Here is an 18,089-nt window from a genome sequence, read left to right as displayed (position 1 = left end):
CCCTTGTCATGGCCTCAGCTGAGTCAACACCTTGTCTAAAAATGGTCACTAACACCACAGCCATTGCTAATCACAATCCAAATTCTAGAATGCCATAATTAGGAATATCCTTTCATGGGACCTGGAATAGGAGCTGGGATGGGAAGGGGCTGGAAGCTGTTGCCTTTATTTTCTACTTTAAGGACTTTTCTTTAAGCCAGGCATGGTGGCACATGCCTGTAGTCCTAGCTACTTGGGAGGCTGAGGCCAGAGGATTGCTTGAGCCCAAGAGTTCAAATCCAGCCTGGACAACATAGTGAAACTCTGTCTCATTCATAAAGAAATAAATGGGAATTTAAAAGTAATTCCTTTTTTTTTTTTTTTTTTTTTTTTGTGACGGAGTTTTACTCTCGTTGCCCAGGCTGGAGTGCAATGGTGCAATCTCAGCTCACTGCAACCTCTGCCTCCCCAGTTAAAGCGATTCTTCTGCCCCAGCCTCCCAAGTAGCTGGGATTACAGGTATGTGCCAGCACACCTGGCTAATTTTGTAGTTTTTTAGTAGAGACGGGTTTCACCATGTTGGTCAGGCTGGTCTCGAACCCCTGACCTCAGGTGATTCACCCACCTTGGCTTCCCAAACTGCTGGGATTACAGGTGTGAGCCACCATGCCCAGCTAGTAAGTCCATTTTTTAAAAAAGGCTTTTGATTTCCACTTTGAGGAAATCAAAATATTACTTGTTCTTCACTGTATTTTCACTGCCTAAAACAGTCCTGGCACATAGTAGGCTAGAAGATAGTCAATAATTGTGTGTTAGACATGATTCTTAGGTATTTATTGCATTTGTTTTATCTTAAACTAGTGTAAAGTTAGATGAATAGAACATGATAGATGAAGCTATCTTCAAATGCATTTTTCCTTTTCTTAAATATTTTTGCATTATAAAAGTAACACATACTCAGGATAAAATTTCAAATAGTAGAGAGAGCAGTGAAGAGGAAAACTTTCTCCATTCCTCTGACTTTCCTAGTCTTGTTCTTTAGAGGAAAGCTATCTTGATAAATAATTGTGTAATTTTCTAGAAATATTCTCTACATAAACATGTATGTATGTACCCCAAAATAGATTTTTATACAAATGGGAATTATATGTACATTCTGTGGTCAGATTTTTTTACTTAGTGTATCTATATACACACAATATATATATACACTACATATATACATATATGATATATACATATGATATATACATATATGAGATATACATATGATATATACATATATGAGATATATACATATATGATATATACATATATGATATATACATATATATGATATATACATATATATGATATATACATATATATGATATATACATATATATGATACATACATATATATGATATATACATATATATGTATATATACATATATATGATACATACATATATATGATATATATACTACTTCATATATATAATATATATGAGAGTATTTGCTGTATGCCTACCTCCTCACACATAAACCATAGGTATTATTAAAACCCTCAGTATGTAGCTTCTCGTCAAATCTGTTGTCTGGCTTAATGATTGATTTAATCAGGACAATTGGAGATAAAGATGTAGACCTAATCTGTTTCCATATCTCTTAGGATTCCCATTATTACGTACATTCTCCCACTCTCTTTTTTTTAACTGTCTCTTTCTCCAAAAAGAGAATCAAAGGAGTTGGCACAGGGCAAATGCTGGTGTAGATCCTCCACTTTTCTCTTCCTAATTTCAGTTTGTATGGTTTTGTTGGGATAAACCACATTCTGACTTCATTAAATTGTGCTGAAATTCCTGGGCAAGCCTTTATAGATTTAAAAAAAAAAAAGGAGCACATTTACTTATTCTTGATTGTAATGGGTATTAAACTATGTCCTTCTAGCCCTATAGAATGTTTCTAGAAACTTCTCTTTATATTATTAACATAGCCCTGTGCCACTTCCATCTTGCTTCTGTCACTAGTTTATGAGAAGTGATCCAAATTAGATGTAGATTTAGGAGGCAGAAGAAGTGATCTGTGTTGGGAAGCTCGTTCTTATCAATACAAGATCACTTTGGTCCTGCCAGTACTACCCGGCACCCACTGGAATTCTGGGGAGTATTTCACAGTTGGTTGACTCTTTTGAAAGCACTTTAGATTTTCTTAGGTTGATACAGGCCTACACTAGGTGTGAATGGCCAGAGTAAAGCATCTGGACCATTGAAGAGCCATTCTCAACTTTTGTAGTGGGATCCGTGGTATATAACAACAAATCAAGAGAGGACCCTAACTCTAAAGTTTCTTTCATACTGTGTTGCTCATAGTAAACTCTGAACAAAAGGTGGGTTAACAATAGATGGGAATCCTGAAAGAGGCTATTAATATATAGTCCCGATGACCAATGATAAGGGCCTATGCCAAAACTTTTACAAAAGTAATGGAAAGGAAAGGATACGTATGAGAAAGATTTGGTGTCAAGGGTGTTTTTTCCTGAAAGTGTAATTACAACTTTTTGAAATGATTAAATGTCTCCGAAATAGAAAACAATTCAGGACAAGTTTTAATTTCTCACCATTTTAGCCATTGAAGTAGTTGTGTTAGGAGTATTCTTTTTAACTTTTTAACTATTCTTTTTTTTACTTTTTTTAACTATTCTTTTTTAAATATTCTTTTAAAAAATATTATCCAGAAATGTCTTTGTTTCAGGAAAATAAGTTTTCATTTCATGGCTGACTTATATTTTAATTACATACTAGTTTGTATACATCAGCCCTCTTCCCTATTAATTACCTGATAATTCCAAGGAATTTTAGTAATCTAGTTAGATAAATAAGGCTTATCTAAAAACTAGAAAATCTATTACCTCACAATGATTTCTTTGTCCTTTCGAACACAAAAAGCACGGAAATGAACAGAAATGTAACAGAATCGAAATTTCAGTGTAACAATTGAAAAGACTTGTCTTTTCCTTAAGTTGAACTTATTTTGTGGGTAAAGAAGTATAAGCAAGAGCATCAAAATGTAAAAGTTTTAAAATTTTTTTTTAAATTTTGGGTTTTCCATACTGTAATAAATAAGTCTTTAAGCTCTGCTATGAGGCATCTATCCTGATTTAAGAAATAAAAATTTTTTGTATTCTAACATTCCATGAAAGCACATATATGTGTTTTCTACAATCTTTTTATTTAAAAAGTTCTCATAATTTACCAATGGAACATACTTTTTTCCTTTTAACTATTTTATGACTGGATAATACTTTTGAAATCTTATAAGAACTTTATAATAAGCTGAAGTTTCAAGAGTTTATAATTATCCTCTTCTGTTTTTCAGTTTCTTATCCTATCTCCAACTGTACCAGTTCAATATTAATCAGCTCCCGGACTGCTATTGTTATTTAATGCAGTCTGTCCAATAGTAGGACATCTCAGCCTTTTTGGAAGTAAGCTGGTGCATATATACATACACACATACATCCATACATGCATGAGTGTAGTAGTGACCATAAAAATAAATTCATATTTCTTATTCTTCAAATAAATATAGTTTTAAAGTGAGGCAACAGTGAGGTTAGATGACAAGTACTGAATTCTGAGGGGTGAGGTGTCAGGGAATTTTAAGTACCGTGATTCTACTAATGTTCTTAAAGCAACATCCTTGCATATAATCTCCTCTTCTACAAGGAAAAACCTTTTTACACCTCCCACAGGCACTTTTAGTGGCTCCCTCCTGTGTACTCCCTTAGCACATTGTACACACTCCTTATCAAGTCTTACTGTGTTGTAGTTGTTTATTTACAGGTTTATCTCTTTCACTAGACAGAATTCCTTTAGGGACAGGATGACGTCTTATTCACATTGGGTTCCCTAGTATATATCACAATGCCTACCACATATTTAACATTCAGCTAATGTTTATCAAATATAATGCCTTCATTCAATAAGCAATTTTTACAGTCAGGGAATCTAGGAGTGAATGTTGAATGAGAAAATTACCATAGATATCTTTTTTTTAAAAGCATACTCCATATTGCATTTTAAAAATGCTTTATAAATTGATTTATACACAGCCTCTCAGTAATGCATCCACTTGCATACATCATTAACTGGGCTAATTCAGAGTCATTATAATTAAGGCACATTGGGGTTCAAATTTATTAAGAAATGTTGAGACATATGAAAAGGCATAGAGTACTATGAGAAATACTCCTGTGCCCACCATCTAGTTTAAGAAATAAAACATTACTTGTATAGCTAAAGCTCTCTGTGTACCTCTCCCCAATTTCATCCCACTTCCATCCCCACTGTGCCAGAGGGTGCTGCTGATCATTCCAGTGCATTTCCTTACACTTTTACTACCTATGTTTATAATCCTGAATAATGTGTAGCATCTGAAAGATAACATTTGAAAATGTTACCTTTTAAATGGTGAAAATTAAGTTGTAATTTATTTTGATTAAAGAAGATAAATTGTCAGATTACATACCAAACTGACATTTATCATAAATTTTGAAAATATTTATTTTGTATAACAATTGGACAAGAAATATCTAGACTTCAGATGATTAAGTTTTTAGAACAAGGTGTATAGGCATTGGTGAGTGGCAGACAACAAGACAGCCAACTAAAAACAAAATCAGGTGTAGATAATTAGTTCTGACATTTTATAATTTGTGACAAAATGATTTTAAAATAAAGTTTATCTGTCTTAGTTTGTATCAATGAGGGAGATCCCCTGAAATGCAACCACTCAATCCCTTTGTCAGTATTTGGACAAATTACCAAAATATCTAGCCCTCTAAAGGCTTTACCCTATTTATAAATTGTAGTTTTTGGCCTCTGCCCAGATTCGGATGTTAGAAATTAGCCTAAAATCTGAGTCCTCATTGAAACAGATTTAGGTAGACTAACTGCTGAGCCTTTCCAATTCACATTGCTGTAATCTATTAGGTTTCATTGAATGAGACACATGAGGATGCTATAATAAAAACCTTTGATAAAGAGTCCCTAGAGTCAAGGGGTATGCTTAGGGCATTGTGTTTCTCTGTCCATAGAAGTGCTTACATAAGTTAAGAAAATACAAGCCAATCTCTTGTCAGACGTAGAAGTGGTATTCCTGAATATGGCTGTCCCATCAGGAAATTGAGTGGCCTGTGGCCAGAGGAGGTATTGTTTTCCTTTTAAGTTCTTTGTGTTCATGAAAAGGCTCTTTGATTCTCAGAATGTATTTGTTTCAAGGTAATTTACTTTGAATTCACTCATGCTCAGAAGTCTCCTGAAAACTTTTACTTAAACTTTTACAGTGTATGTTTTATAGGCAACCCACACCTGGATGAATTTCAAAGAGTCTTTCGTATGACATCTATTTTAATAATGAGCGCTTGGTTTCTAAAGCCTACCAGGTTCTATCATATGGAACCTTTAATTAATAGCAGTTACGTTTTCAAAACACTAACTTTACCTCTTAGTATCAAATCTTTCTTAATATGATTAAGAGACAAATGCATAGCTGTCAATTTTTGGTGAGGTGTTTCAGCTTCAAAGGAATTTGCCTGTTTGAAAGCTTTCTTGAAGTTTAGATATGCTGCCATCAGGTGGTAGTAATATGTCATATCCCTGTGGCTCTGCAGATGGCACTCTGCTAAAGGTCACCAGTTTACCCCACAAAGATTTATAATCATCAATGCACATAAGTGTGTATGGAAATTAAAATAACATAGTGTATCTGTTATTTTATCAACAGGAAGGATACTTTGAATGGAAATTTTAAAACAGATACATATGGCAAGATTCTACTGGACATTTTTTCACTGTTCTTGGTTTACTTTTTTGGTGAATGAAGCATTTTATTTTATGCCTTATAAATATTTAGAAAATATGGAAAAGTAAAATTTAAAACTTACCTAATTACACCCACCCAAATATAATTGCTATTAACCCTTTGCTTCATTTCCTTCCAGTCGTTTTTTAAATGCAATTTTTAGTAATTTTTGTTTCTGTTTTTTGTAGTGGAGTTGGATGGCAGGAAAAGGTATTTGGCTGTAGTAACATTGTGTATATAGCTTGTATACTTTACAACTTTTAAAATTATAAGCTTTTTATAACTACTTCATGACTTCTTACTATTCCGTTGATTGAAATTTTTCATAATTTATATAGTCCTTCACCTCTTAGTAGATAATGTATATTTCTAATATTTACAGTGTTCAGTATTTTATCTCTCCCTTTCATCCACTGCCTATCAAGAGGGCTATTATCGAATTGCATCTATGCTTGATTTTTGTTTCAACACAAAAGAATTTCTAGTTCATCTGAGTAGCTATTTTATATTTCCTCTATCACATTTTTTACTGCCAGAAAATTTGAACTCTCAGCTTTCAACTATGAATGTATAGTCTGTTATTATTTTCATATCATATGAATGAATTTGTAAATTGTACAAAGCCAGGTACCACATATGAAGATTTCAGGGCCTGTGATATTATGAAATGAAGCCATTATCTATATCCTGCCAAAATAACTTTTTCTTCTGTTTTTTATAGCATAAAACATTGCATTAAAGAGATACAGTCCGAAATTAACAAACAATGTCCAGGTGTGCAGCTGCAAACAACAACTGACTGCTTTGAATGGCTAACTAACTATAATTACAGTACATCTGAATCATCTTTCATTTCTCATGGAGACTTGATAAAATTTTTCAAAACACTGGTAAAATGAATTTTTATTTTATCATGGAGTGGGATGAGTAAACAGGGAATACAACTCATTCAATTTCTATACGTAAATATTTATTTGAGTGACCATATTAGCCTGCCATACATAGGGGTTTGTGTTTTTATGTTCCTATATCCCCAACATAATCCACTGAGCTATTTGTTTTAATTTTTAACTATGATTTTTATCAATAAAATAAAATTTTATATAAATGGAGATACAATATTATGATTCCTGGGTGATTTGTGGTATGATATATATCATATCAATACCACAAAATGTATTGATGTGTATCACAGCTGTCTACCAGAAAAGTTCATATTCATTATGTTTTGTATCCTTTCACTATTCATTTTTTATATGCTCATTATTAAAGCATAATAAGATCCCCATGTATTGTGTCTATTAAGTGGCCTTGACTATTATTCCCTGCATTCCTAACCTGCAGTCTAACCCAGTTCTTTTCAATCAAGGTAGCAATTTATGCAAGACCACCAAATGACAGAGAATTATTATGTTGGGTATTCTTAATATTGACCACCATCTATGCTAGAGAAGTTTTTGTAAACTTCAATAAGAACAGTGATTTTATCACACTTGTTTCTCCAAGGCTAGCTAGCTTGCAAAAACAGATTCCCAGAGAAGCAGCATAATTGTTAGAAAGCAGTACTTCTGTAGCTATGGTTTTAATTTAATTTAGGGAAAAAAAGGCACTGTTTTTGTCTAAACATCAAACATTGACTAAGACAGATGTGGAAAATATCTGGAGGTTGTAGATGGCTTAGGATGACAGAATCAGATGAAAATAGTTTTTGCCTGTTGTTATTATTTCAGATGTCTCTTTAATTTTACAAAGTAATAAAAGGAAGAGAAAGGAAGACTGTGTGCCCTGAAGCCTTATTCTTTTAAGGAAACCTCTCACCCATTATCTCCTGAAGGTGGATCCTTAAAGAATAAATATGGATATAGTTATTCCTTTAATTTCTATTAAGAGGCATGTGTATTGAATTTCATTAATGCTGATGTAATAATGCTTTCTCATTTAATTAAAAGCAAACGCTTTTAATTATCTTTTAATCTGTCACACATAAGTCATTCTCTATTCACTGCAGGGCAAAGGCCGCCTTAGTTTTGCTCAAATTCATTAGACTGATAGGCTTGTCCCAGTCCTAGGTTTTTTTACATAATTGATCATGTTATTTTAAGGAAGGAACCACATTATTAAAACAGATCCAGATTTAAATGACCTTATTATCAAGTTTCTACATGCTAAAAAATGTCAGTCCTGATGGCATTTTTCATACATCTGTTTTTTTCATAGAAAATTTCTTGTTAATTTTCTAGTGATTTAAATAAGAAACAGAGGTCCTCATTATGGCAGATGTACTGAAGTTATTTTCAAAATTTAAGCAATCATACTAAACATATGTTCTAAACCTCTGTAATCTATTATTCTTTGTTTGATCAAATATTTACAGTTATTTACGGACTTAAAAAAACCAAGGCAGAGGCACCAGTATGACTCATTTGCTTTATAGAATTTACAGTAATGCTGATGTGTCCTATCTAAGGACAATTTCTTTTCCAGAAATATCAAAATAACTCAATAGCAGTAGAGGAGAGAGAAAGAAGCTACACAGAGGTCATGTGTACTTTGTGGCTCTCTGGAGTGTAGCAGAAAGAATGTGGATGAAGAGAAAGAAGCCAGGGATCATTTCTTGGTTCTGTGCCTTACTGTATGTGACTTTTGAAAAGTCACTGAAGCATGCCTGATTTTAGAGTCCTTGTGTGTAAATTGGGTTTTTAAATACATATGCCAAAGAGTTATCATTATGAATAAACCAGGAAATGTTTGTATAAATACTTAAAAAGCATTTCTTGGTATAATTATTGGGTATAATTATTTATTACAGATAGAACATTAGGCATTGCAGTGCTTACAGTGAATGAGAGAAAATTCCTGGAATTTGTCTAGGAATTGTTCATAATTGTGAATCACACATAATGCCTTTGGTATCTTCATCAATAAGAAATTGTAAAGCCAGCCTGATTTTATGCCACTTGGACCTTGCTTTCATTTCTCTTGTAATCAGCTTGTTTCTACCTAGAGAATATAAACTAATTTCAGTATTAGCTAAAATAGACATAATTAGGAAAGTCAGCATGGAAGCAGAATGTGTGTGTCTAATTCAAAGCCCAAGAAAAAAGTAAATTTTTTGTCCCTTTCTATTCATAATTATACCCACCATTGTTTTCTGCTAGCACAGAAAGTATAAAGGAATAATTTCATATCATCTTTTGGGGAATAATTCTGAGGGTATCTTTTTCTCATTTTGGGTTATTTCTTTGGAGAGAATTGAAATATTCTCAGATTAATTTTCAAAGTAAAATCTTTCTTAACACAGTTCTCAAAAAGGAATTTAAATGAAAGTTAAAATCTTTAAATGTATTAAAATTTACTTCTCAGAAAGGTATATTTTAGTAACCCCCAGGCACATACTATATTTAAAGATCTATATTCTAGAATGATTTTAAAGTATTGTATGATATGTTCATTTGGGGTTTTATAATAATAAGTGTACTCATTCAAGCATGAAAATTGTCTACCAGGAATTAGGGGCATGATCTTGAATCTATTTTGTATTAGGAATACATTTCAATCAATATTTTACTATAGATTTGTATTTAGAATTTTTAAGCCAGAGTTTTTATACAGCTCAGGGTATATTGGGTAGATAACAATGAGGGCTAAAAACTGTATGTCTAGAAATCTAATTGAAAAGATAATCAGCTAGGTTTGAAATGAACAATTCAAAGTTTAGTAGACCATAAAAGCTAACATTCTAAAACATCTGAATTGATTAAATTTCAAATGCAAAAAAATAAAATCTTAAGGAATTTTAGAGTATTGATTTCAACCTGAAATTATTATGAAATTGTATATGACTATAGAAATCATTTTTTCTATTGCACTTAATCACATTTCTAATGTTATAATTTCATTAGCAAGATTTGTTGAAGAATGAACAAAATCAAGAAGAAATGACATTGGATTTACTTTGGGACCTCTCCTGCCACAGCAGCGTTTCATTCCCATCAACCCTAAGTGGAACATCTTTCCATTTCCTCTCTAGGACGTCTCTTCATTCTGTTGAAGATAATTCCTCTATGGATGTCAAGTCTATGTGGGATGATATAAGACTGCATCTTCGACGCTTCTTAGTGAGCAAATTACAAAGCCATAATGAAATAAACAATTCACAGCAAAAAATTTTATTGAAAAAGCAGTGCTTACAACAACTCTTGTTTCTTTATCCAGAATCAGAAGTTATAATCAAATACCAAAACATACAGAATAAACTGTTGGCTAATCTTCTGTGGAACTGCTTTCCTTCTTACAACAGAGATTCAAATTTAGATGTAATAGCTCATGGATATCAAAGTACAATGCTTAAGTTATACTCAGTAATAAAAGAGGATTTTAACACACTATGTGAAATTTTAGCTCCATCTTCAATGGTGAAATTCATTAAAGAAACTTACCTGGATACTGTTACAGAAGAAATGGCAAAATTTCTTGAAAATTTTTGTGAGCTGCAGTTCAGAGAAAATGCTGTTCGTGTGGTTAAAACAAGCAAGAGCTCCAGCAAGCATAGAGGAGCAGTGCATGCTTTGGGTTAGTGACATTTAAAATTTTTGTTTGGTTTAACTTAAGTCTTTTAATATGTTTAATTTTCTAAGATGTTTTCTATTTGGTTAAATCTCACTGCAAACATGAAAATTAGAAAATGAATGTAATGAAATTTTGCAGTATACATTTCTCATGCATTTTTTTCTATAATTGTAGTTATAAAAGTATTTTCTTTCTTATTAAATTGTTAAAGATATTGGAAATATAAGCCAAAAATACTTTAAATAAGAGTTTAATTTCTCTTGATTGCATATGACAAACAGTATTTGTGAAACTGTGTGTATACACACATATATATAAATGAGTATATATGCTTATACACATATAAGCTCCTTTATCTGTTTATTAAATATACGCATATATATAAGCACATATACTCAGTTATATATATGTACATTTAGTTATATACATAACAGAAAAGTATGATTTTTAATCCATTGTATCTTCCAAAGCTAAAGCATTATTAGGTAAAAAGAATTTTTGAAAATTTGTTGAAATTTGCAGTAAAATTGGATATTTAAAAGTTGTAATATTTTAGTCAGTCAATTCTAATAATGAGCAACTATGAAATACTATAATTATAAAATTCTGTATTGTAGTTGATTAGGAAGGTATAACATTTTACTATAGCTATTTTTAAAGTTTCTCTACTATTTTTTCTATAAGGATGTATACAAATAAAAGATGATTTGAAAATTTCTATTTTATTCATAAGATAAAGGAAAAAAGGAAAGAAGTTATTGTGATATAATAAACTTTTCTTATTGTGGTTGTACTTTCCTACCAGTGGAGAAAAATCAGGGTAAAAATAGGATTATTTCTAAAATTATCATTAGTTATGCTTTTATATAAAATCTGAGGTGTATTTCTGAATAAGTTCATAAACTATATGGCTTAAGTATTTGAAAATTATTATTTGGTGAATTATGGATCTTTGAATTTATGATCATCTTTTTAAAATTCCTATAGCTCACTATACTTGTGCGTATCTTCATTAATAAAATTTCAGTTGACCAAATTAATGTGATATATGAATTTTCAAATTGTTTAATATTTTGTCTTAAAATTTTAATTTTCCTCCAGAAGCTATATCTCATTGCAGAAGAGAGATGCATCTGCCAAATTCGGTTATGGCAAAATACAAAGTCAGTTAATTTAGGAACATTATTATTTTGCTCAAAGCAAATAGACTTTTATTTTAATTGTTAACACATAAATTTTAAAATGCACTTTATTAGTGTACTTATTTTCTAAAATTTTTATATTCTCTGAAAAAAAAATCCTGCTTACTTGTAAAGTCTTTTCAATACGAAAGTTTTATATGTGCTAAATATAGTTTATAACAGAAGAAAAGATCCATATGGTTGAAAATGTGTGTAAGTTGCTATGGAGTCTTTAGGGTTGATATTGAAGTGTTTTCTCATTCATGAGAGAAAAGTATGTGTGTCCTCTTTAACACCAGAATTTGAAGCATTTTCCACAAGTGTAGGTGCATAGATTATTTCCCAAGCTCCTTTATCTGAACTTTGATATGAAACAATTATTAAGTGAGCACTGTCCATATGCCAAACACTGCGCTAATGACAACCCATTCCTATTATCCCAATTTCATGAACACAGAAAGAAACTTAGAAAGATTAACTTGCCCTGATCATGTTGTATGAAATCAGGATTGATACTTAGAAGTCATATGCAGATCTTTCTATTTCTGGGACCCATGTTCTCAAGCACCATGCTATTGGGCCTTGTCTTACAAGTGTAGAATTAAATGATCTGTCACCTATAAAAGAAATTTCAAACAGCACTGTTCAAGTGGGCTGTCTGCAGATAAATTCAGTTCAGCTTTATTGACCACCTACCATAAGAAAGGCATTTAGCAGCTACCATGTTCTGTGCTAGACACAGTAAGGGGAAGAAAACTAAATGAGTCACTACTGCTACTGCCATATGAGAACTGCTAAACTAACTCAACAGATAAGCTATGTTGTTCACTAATATTTGACCCAATGATAATGTTTTGTTTATTAAGGAAATACATCTTTGAGATGACCGACAATGGCTCGAATGGGTTGTATTATATTATCTTTAATCTATGTCTGTATCTTTATGCTCACGAAATCTTTGCTATTTTACCTGAAATTATAGAAAGGACAATCCTTAAGTAACAACAACATTTATTGGCTCAGACATTGATGTGCATTATCTCTTTTAATCCTTCTAACCTACCAAACAAGGTAGATACCATTATTTATTATCTCCATTTTACAGTGAGGAAACTAAGACATAGAGATGTTAAGTAATTTGCTCTAGGACATAGAGTGAAGCCAGGATTCAAACTTATCTGTCTGACTCAGAGCCCTTCCTGTATTACTATAATCTACTGACTGAAAAATAGGATATTTTTAAATTTAAAAACATTTCTCTGAATCCTCTGTATACTTCTTCAACTTTAGTGGTCATTGTTTTCTTCTTCTCCAAACTATTTAAATAATTTAAAATAAATTTAATTTATTTAAATTTAAATAATTTAAAATAAATTTAATTTATTTAAATTTAAATAATCCTAATTTAAATGTATATGATTTAAATGATTATAATTTCTATTTAGTGACTTTAAGCAGGCTTTGTATGTATACTGTAGTCTTAATGAGCTAATGTCTTACCTTTCCATGCTTATACCTTAATGAGCTAAGGCAGTTTGGACCTATTCAATCTTTAGTTGCTTCTGATTTTGTACTTAGGTTGAGGATTGGTTGTTCTTCCCTGAATGACCTGTAAATTTTCCATCATTCATCTATCATCTATCTGTCTATCTATCTATCTATCTGTCTAATGTGATTACTTATTAATATGTATAAGACTTTACAAGGCTTTACATATGTGGGTTCACTTAACCTTCTCAACAGCCTTTTATATTATTTATACTTTATATATGAGAATACTGAGATTCAGAGAGGTAAATATTTTCCAAGTCCACACAGATAGTAAGCCAAAAAAAGAAGATTTCTCTGTTTGCAATTATTTGGTATATTAGCTTGATATGCCACTAAACTCTGTGTCAAAAGCTGTGCAAAACAGTATGATAGTTAGCATTAAAAATAATTTACCACTTTCACTTTTTTTGTTTTTTTGAGTTGGAGTTTTGCTCTTGTTGCCCAGGCTAGAGTGCAATGGTGCAATCTCGGCTCACTGCAACCTCCGCCTCCTGGGTTCAAGCGATTCTCCTGCCTCAGGCCTCCTAAGTAGCTGGGATTACAGGCATGCACTACCATGCCCGGTTAATTTTGTATTTTTAGTAGAGATGGTGTTTCGCCATTTTGGTCAGGCTGGTCTCCAACTCCTGACCTCAGGTGATCCACCCGCCTTGGCCTCCCAAAGTGCTGGGGTTACAGGTGTGAGCCACCGTGCCTGGCCACGTTTTCTTTTCTTTTTTTTTTTTTTTTGAGACGGAGTCTCGTTCTGTCGCCCAGGCGGGAGTGCTGTGGCGCGATCTCCGCTCACTGCAAGCTCCACTTCCGGGTTCACGCCATTCTCCTGCCTCAGCCTCCCGAGTAGCTGGGACTACAGGCGCCCGCCACTGCGCCCGGCTAATTTTTTGTATTTTTAGTAGAGACGGGGTTTCACCGTGGTCTCGATCTCCTGACCTCGTGATCCGCCCGCCTCGGCCTCCCAAAGTGCTGGGATTACAGGCGTGAGCCACCGCGCCCGGCCCACGTTTTCTTTTTTAATGGTTACATTATTTCTGTCTTCTACACTGATTCAGTGTTTTGCTTTTCTTTTTTATTGATAATGATTCAGAACTCAGTTATGATTTGCTAGTGTTATTAACTCAGACACTCACTAGGGGTAGTTTTTATGATGCTTTTCTATGCTATGTTATGCTATGCTATGCTGTGCTATTTGTGCTATGCTGTGCTATGTTATTCTACCAGTTGGCCTTTTGGATGATTGTATTCACCTGGGCACCCCACAGTGCATTCTGTCTGCCACTAATTCAGGTTTTCCAGTACATATATTTAAAATATGGTGACAATCTCTCTAGCCATTTTTCTATGATAAGGTACCAGACAGACAATTTTATTTACATATAAGCTTGTGATTAGACTTAATCCACATCTTGGTATTGTATGGTAACTTTTTTTCTACTTTATATTCAGTTTTGAATGTTTTGTTTCTTAGAGAGCATGTGCTGCTTTAGTATTACAATACATTTAGAAGTGTAATGCTTGTATGTTTTGTTATCTGAAAAAAATGATGAAATAATGTTAACATAAATATTACAGAATCTTTTTGATTTAACAATCTTTTATAGAAGAGAACAATATTATTCTTACAGATACTCTTACAAAGTTTTCAGAGTGATTTACAAAGCAACGCTTTCTGAATAACCGATTTTGTTCATCTGTATTCTTATAGTTTCTCTAATTTTTTTTTTTTTTTTGAGACAGAGTCTCCCTCTGTTGCCCAGGCTGGAGTGCAATGGCGCAATCTCGGCTCACTGCAACCTCCACCTCCTGGGTTCAAGCGATTCTCTTGCCTCAGTCTCCCAAGTAGCTGGGATCACAGGCGCCTGCCACCACGCCCAGCTACTTTTTGTATTTTTAGTAGAGACGGGATTTCACCATTCTGGCCAAGCTGGTCTCAAACTCCTTACCTCAGGTGATCCACCCGCCTTGGCCTCCCAAAGTGCTGGGATTACAAGAGTGAGCCACCACACCTGGCTAGTTTCTCTAATATTAGGAAAATTATTATTTCGTAAAGGTTTATGCTACAATATTTTTTTCATTTAGCTTATAAGGCTTTAAAGTCAAAATAGCTTTCAAAAAGCTAGAAATTTACAATTAGCATTTTGATTATAACCTAATTTGGAATTATCTGGAAAGTCAGATCCATATATACAATTGTACACATATCATCTACGTTTCAGGAGCACCAGTGCCATTCTTATATTGTAACATTTTACTATATTTATATTTGGACTAGTTATGTGATCAAATTAATTTTACTTTTAAAATTGTATTTCCTTTGGATTTAAGTAAATGCTACATTTCTCAGTGTTCAAAAAAGAAAGGATTATTTACATATAATAAATTTTGGTTAAATAAATCCTCTGTATTTTAATATGAAAAGATAGAAATAGGAGATTTAAATTCTAGGACAAACTCCATGGCCCCCATATATCCTATCTTTAATTTTTCTTGAGGTTATTGTTAGCTTGAAAAAGGAAGACTTAGGAGAATATGATAAACACCTTTGAATATTTGAAAGATTCCTAAAATCTGCAGTGGATGAAAGGTTGACCTGAATCACCTCTAAGACACCTTTTTTTTCATAGTCCCTTGTTCTTTTGTTTAAGGAAGACTGGGGATGAGGGAAGTGAATCCCTCAAGGAATGAAAAGATCATTCAAGATAACCAAGGCCCTCAAACCAAAGAGAAGATAGACTTCTTGACTAGGGAGACACAAGATCACTATTAGAAAGTAGGCCAATCAAAAGCCACTCAGTTCTCTCTTCTACTCAAGTAGTTTTGACCATTTGAATGATGATATTACGAAAGAAGAAAAAGTATACTGAAGCCAACTCTGGAAAGTTGGATATTGTCCCTATTTTATAGATACAGAATCTGTGGTTTGGACAAGTTAAGTAGCTCTCCCAAAGTCCTGGTGACTACAGTGACTTACTGTGTCTTGCTGAATGAAATCATTTGTAAGATCAAGAATCCTTCAATAATTTGAAGAGTAATTCTCATTTTTTTAGATCCCAATTTTTCTGTTGGACTCATAGCATACATTTATTTTCCTACGTATAAAATTAACCTTGAATTTCGAAACTGTAATAGAGTACAAATCCACATCACTTCTTTCTATTTGGAAAGATTTGCAAAGAAAAAAAATCCAAGACTTTGCATACTAATACATGAATAGAAAAAATATTACCATTAATTTTAATATTTTAAAAAGTATCTAAATGAAGAATGTCATTTTATTCCTAAAGATGCAAGTAACCTGGTTACATATACCATTTTTACCAGAGTTAAGCTAAAAGTAACTAAGTTGAGCTGATTATTACCAGGTTTGAGATCCTTTTCACTATTAATTAATTAATAACAATAGCATTAGCTAGCATTATGGTTGCAAGATGCATCTATATTTTTTATTTATTTGACTTATCTTTGCTATATCACCACCCAAAAATTAGACAATGCAGCAATTCCAGTTCTTGTTTTGTGGGTGAAAAAATGAAAGCATTTTGGCTGGTTAACAAATCAAGTTAGCTGCAAAATTAAGATTAGACAAGAAGCATCTTCCCACTATACCTCCATTCCACCTAAGATAAACAAAAAGTCTGACATTATAATTTTTTTCTAAGGAAGTTCTTTTTTTTTTTTCAATTCTTTCTACTAAAGGTAGGAATTTTCTCTGAAAATTATTTATTAAATTAAAAATCATGAGAAAAATGACTGGATATTTATGGGTATAAGGGGAGGGTGTATTTTATGTGCTTGGGTAGATGTGTGGTAGTATATGTATGTGTACATATCTTTATCTAAAACTTTTTTTTCTGCTGCATGGACTCTATTTTCTGGCCTAATTATTCTCCATTAAATGTTCTGAGGCATCTGAATCATTGTTCTAAAGACAGAAGGGCACAAAAATGGAAAGTATATTGGGTAAAAGAGAACATGTATGCAATTTAATTTTAGCACATTTTTCTTCCATATAGGAAGAATTAGCAAACACCAAACTGCACTGTTATCTACTTCTCCCTTCTTAGAACACAGGTGTCTTCTTCCTAAGGTTGCAAAGAATATTTCACTTGCTATATCCTCTAATTCTGACATTGAAACACTAATGATGAAAGTTAAAAATAAGATTCTGTTTTGGTTTTCAGGAAAGGTCATAGGTCAGTTTAAGATTTATATACCATCTTAGCCATTTAATAACATTTTTTGATACTGAAAAACTTTTTAAAAGATTAAAATGCTGAGGTTTTAAAAAGCCTCATTTTTTGACTTAGAAAAATAAATTATCTATTTAAAAATATAAGTAACATTTTAAGATCCAAATGAAAATTATTGAAAAAAGTCACTGAAAAGAAGTTTAGAATAAAACTATACTAAAAGTGAACAAACTTATCTTGCAACTATTCAATATTGAACAAATATGTGGACAAGTATACATGAGATTGTTGTCAGAAATTTATGTTCTGTAGAAAGTAAGTTGCTACAGCGTACAGAGTGCTAAGTCACTCTCTAAACTTCCTAAAACTTTGCCAGCTTCTGCTTTACCCTCTTAAAATTATCTAAATTATTCCATTTATTTATTTATTTATTTATAAGATGGAGTCTCGCTCTATCGCTCAGGCTGGAGTGCAGTGATGCGATCTCAGCTCACTGCAACCTTCGCCTCCCAGGTAAAAGCGATTCTCCTGTCTCAGCCTCCCAGTAGCTGGGACTACAGGCTCCTGCCACCATGCCCGGCTATTATTTTGTATTTTTAGTAGAGATGGGGTTTAGTAGCCATGTTGGCAGGCTGGTCTCAAACTCCTGACCTCAGATGATCCGCCCACCTCAGCCTCCCAAATTGCTGGGATTACGCATGAGCCACCACACTCTGCCTTTTTTTTTTTTTTTTTTAAGACAGGATCTTGCTATGTTGCCCAAGCTGGTCTTGAATG

General features: G+C 32.8%; 1 protein-coding gene across 34 annotated transcripts in view; it reads left to right on the top strand.

The window, feature by feature from the left end:
• Positions 1 to 18,089, top strand: part of KIAA0825 — a 467,754-nt gene that overhangs the window by 87,961 nt on the left and 361,704 nt on the right. For 16 of the 34 annotated variants that reach the window (XR_948246.3, NR_169751.1, NM_001145678.3 and 13 more), the window contains 2 exons: positions 6,546 to 6,714; positions 9,727 to 10,396. Coding sequence is in view for 29 of the 34 variants with exons in the window: in NM_001145678.3 (NP_001139150.1) it covers positions 6,546 to 6,714; positions 9,727 to 10,396 (839 nt within the window). In the remaining 5 variants the exon portion in view is untranslated. Of the gene's footprint in view, positions 1 to 400; positions 499 to 5,057; positions 5,170 to 6,545; positions 6,715 to 9,726; positions 11,430 to 18,089 lie in introns of those variants that run through there. The other 18 variants (NM_001385723.1, NM_173665.3, NM_001385724.1 and 15 more) reach the window with 5 other exon arrangements.

Source organism: Homo sapiens, chromosome 5 (assembly GCF_000001405.40).
Source record: "Homo sapiens chromosome 5, GRCh38.p14 Primary Assembly".
NCBI lineage: Eukaryota > Metazoa > Chordata > Mammalia > Primates > Hominidae > Homo > Homo sapiens.
This window is presented reverse-complemented; position numbering and strand designations above follow the sequence as displayed.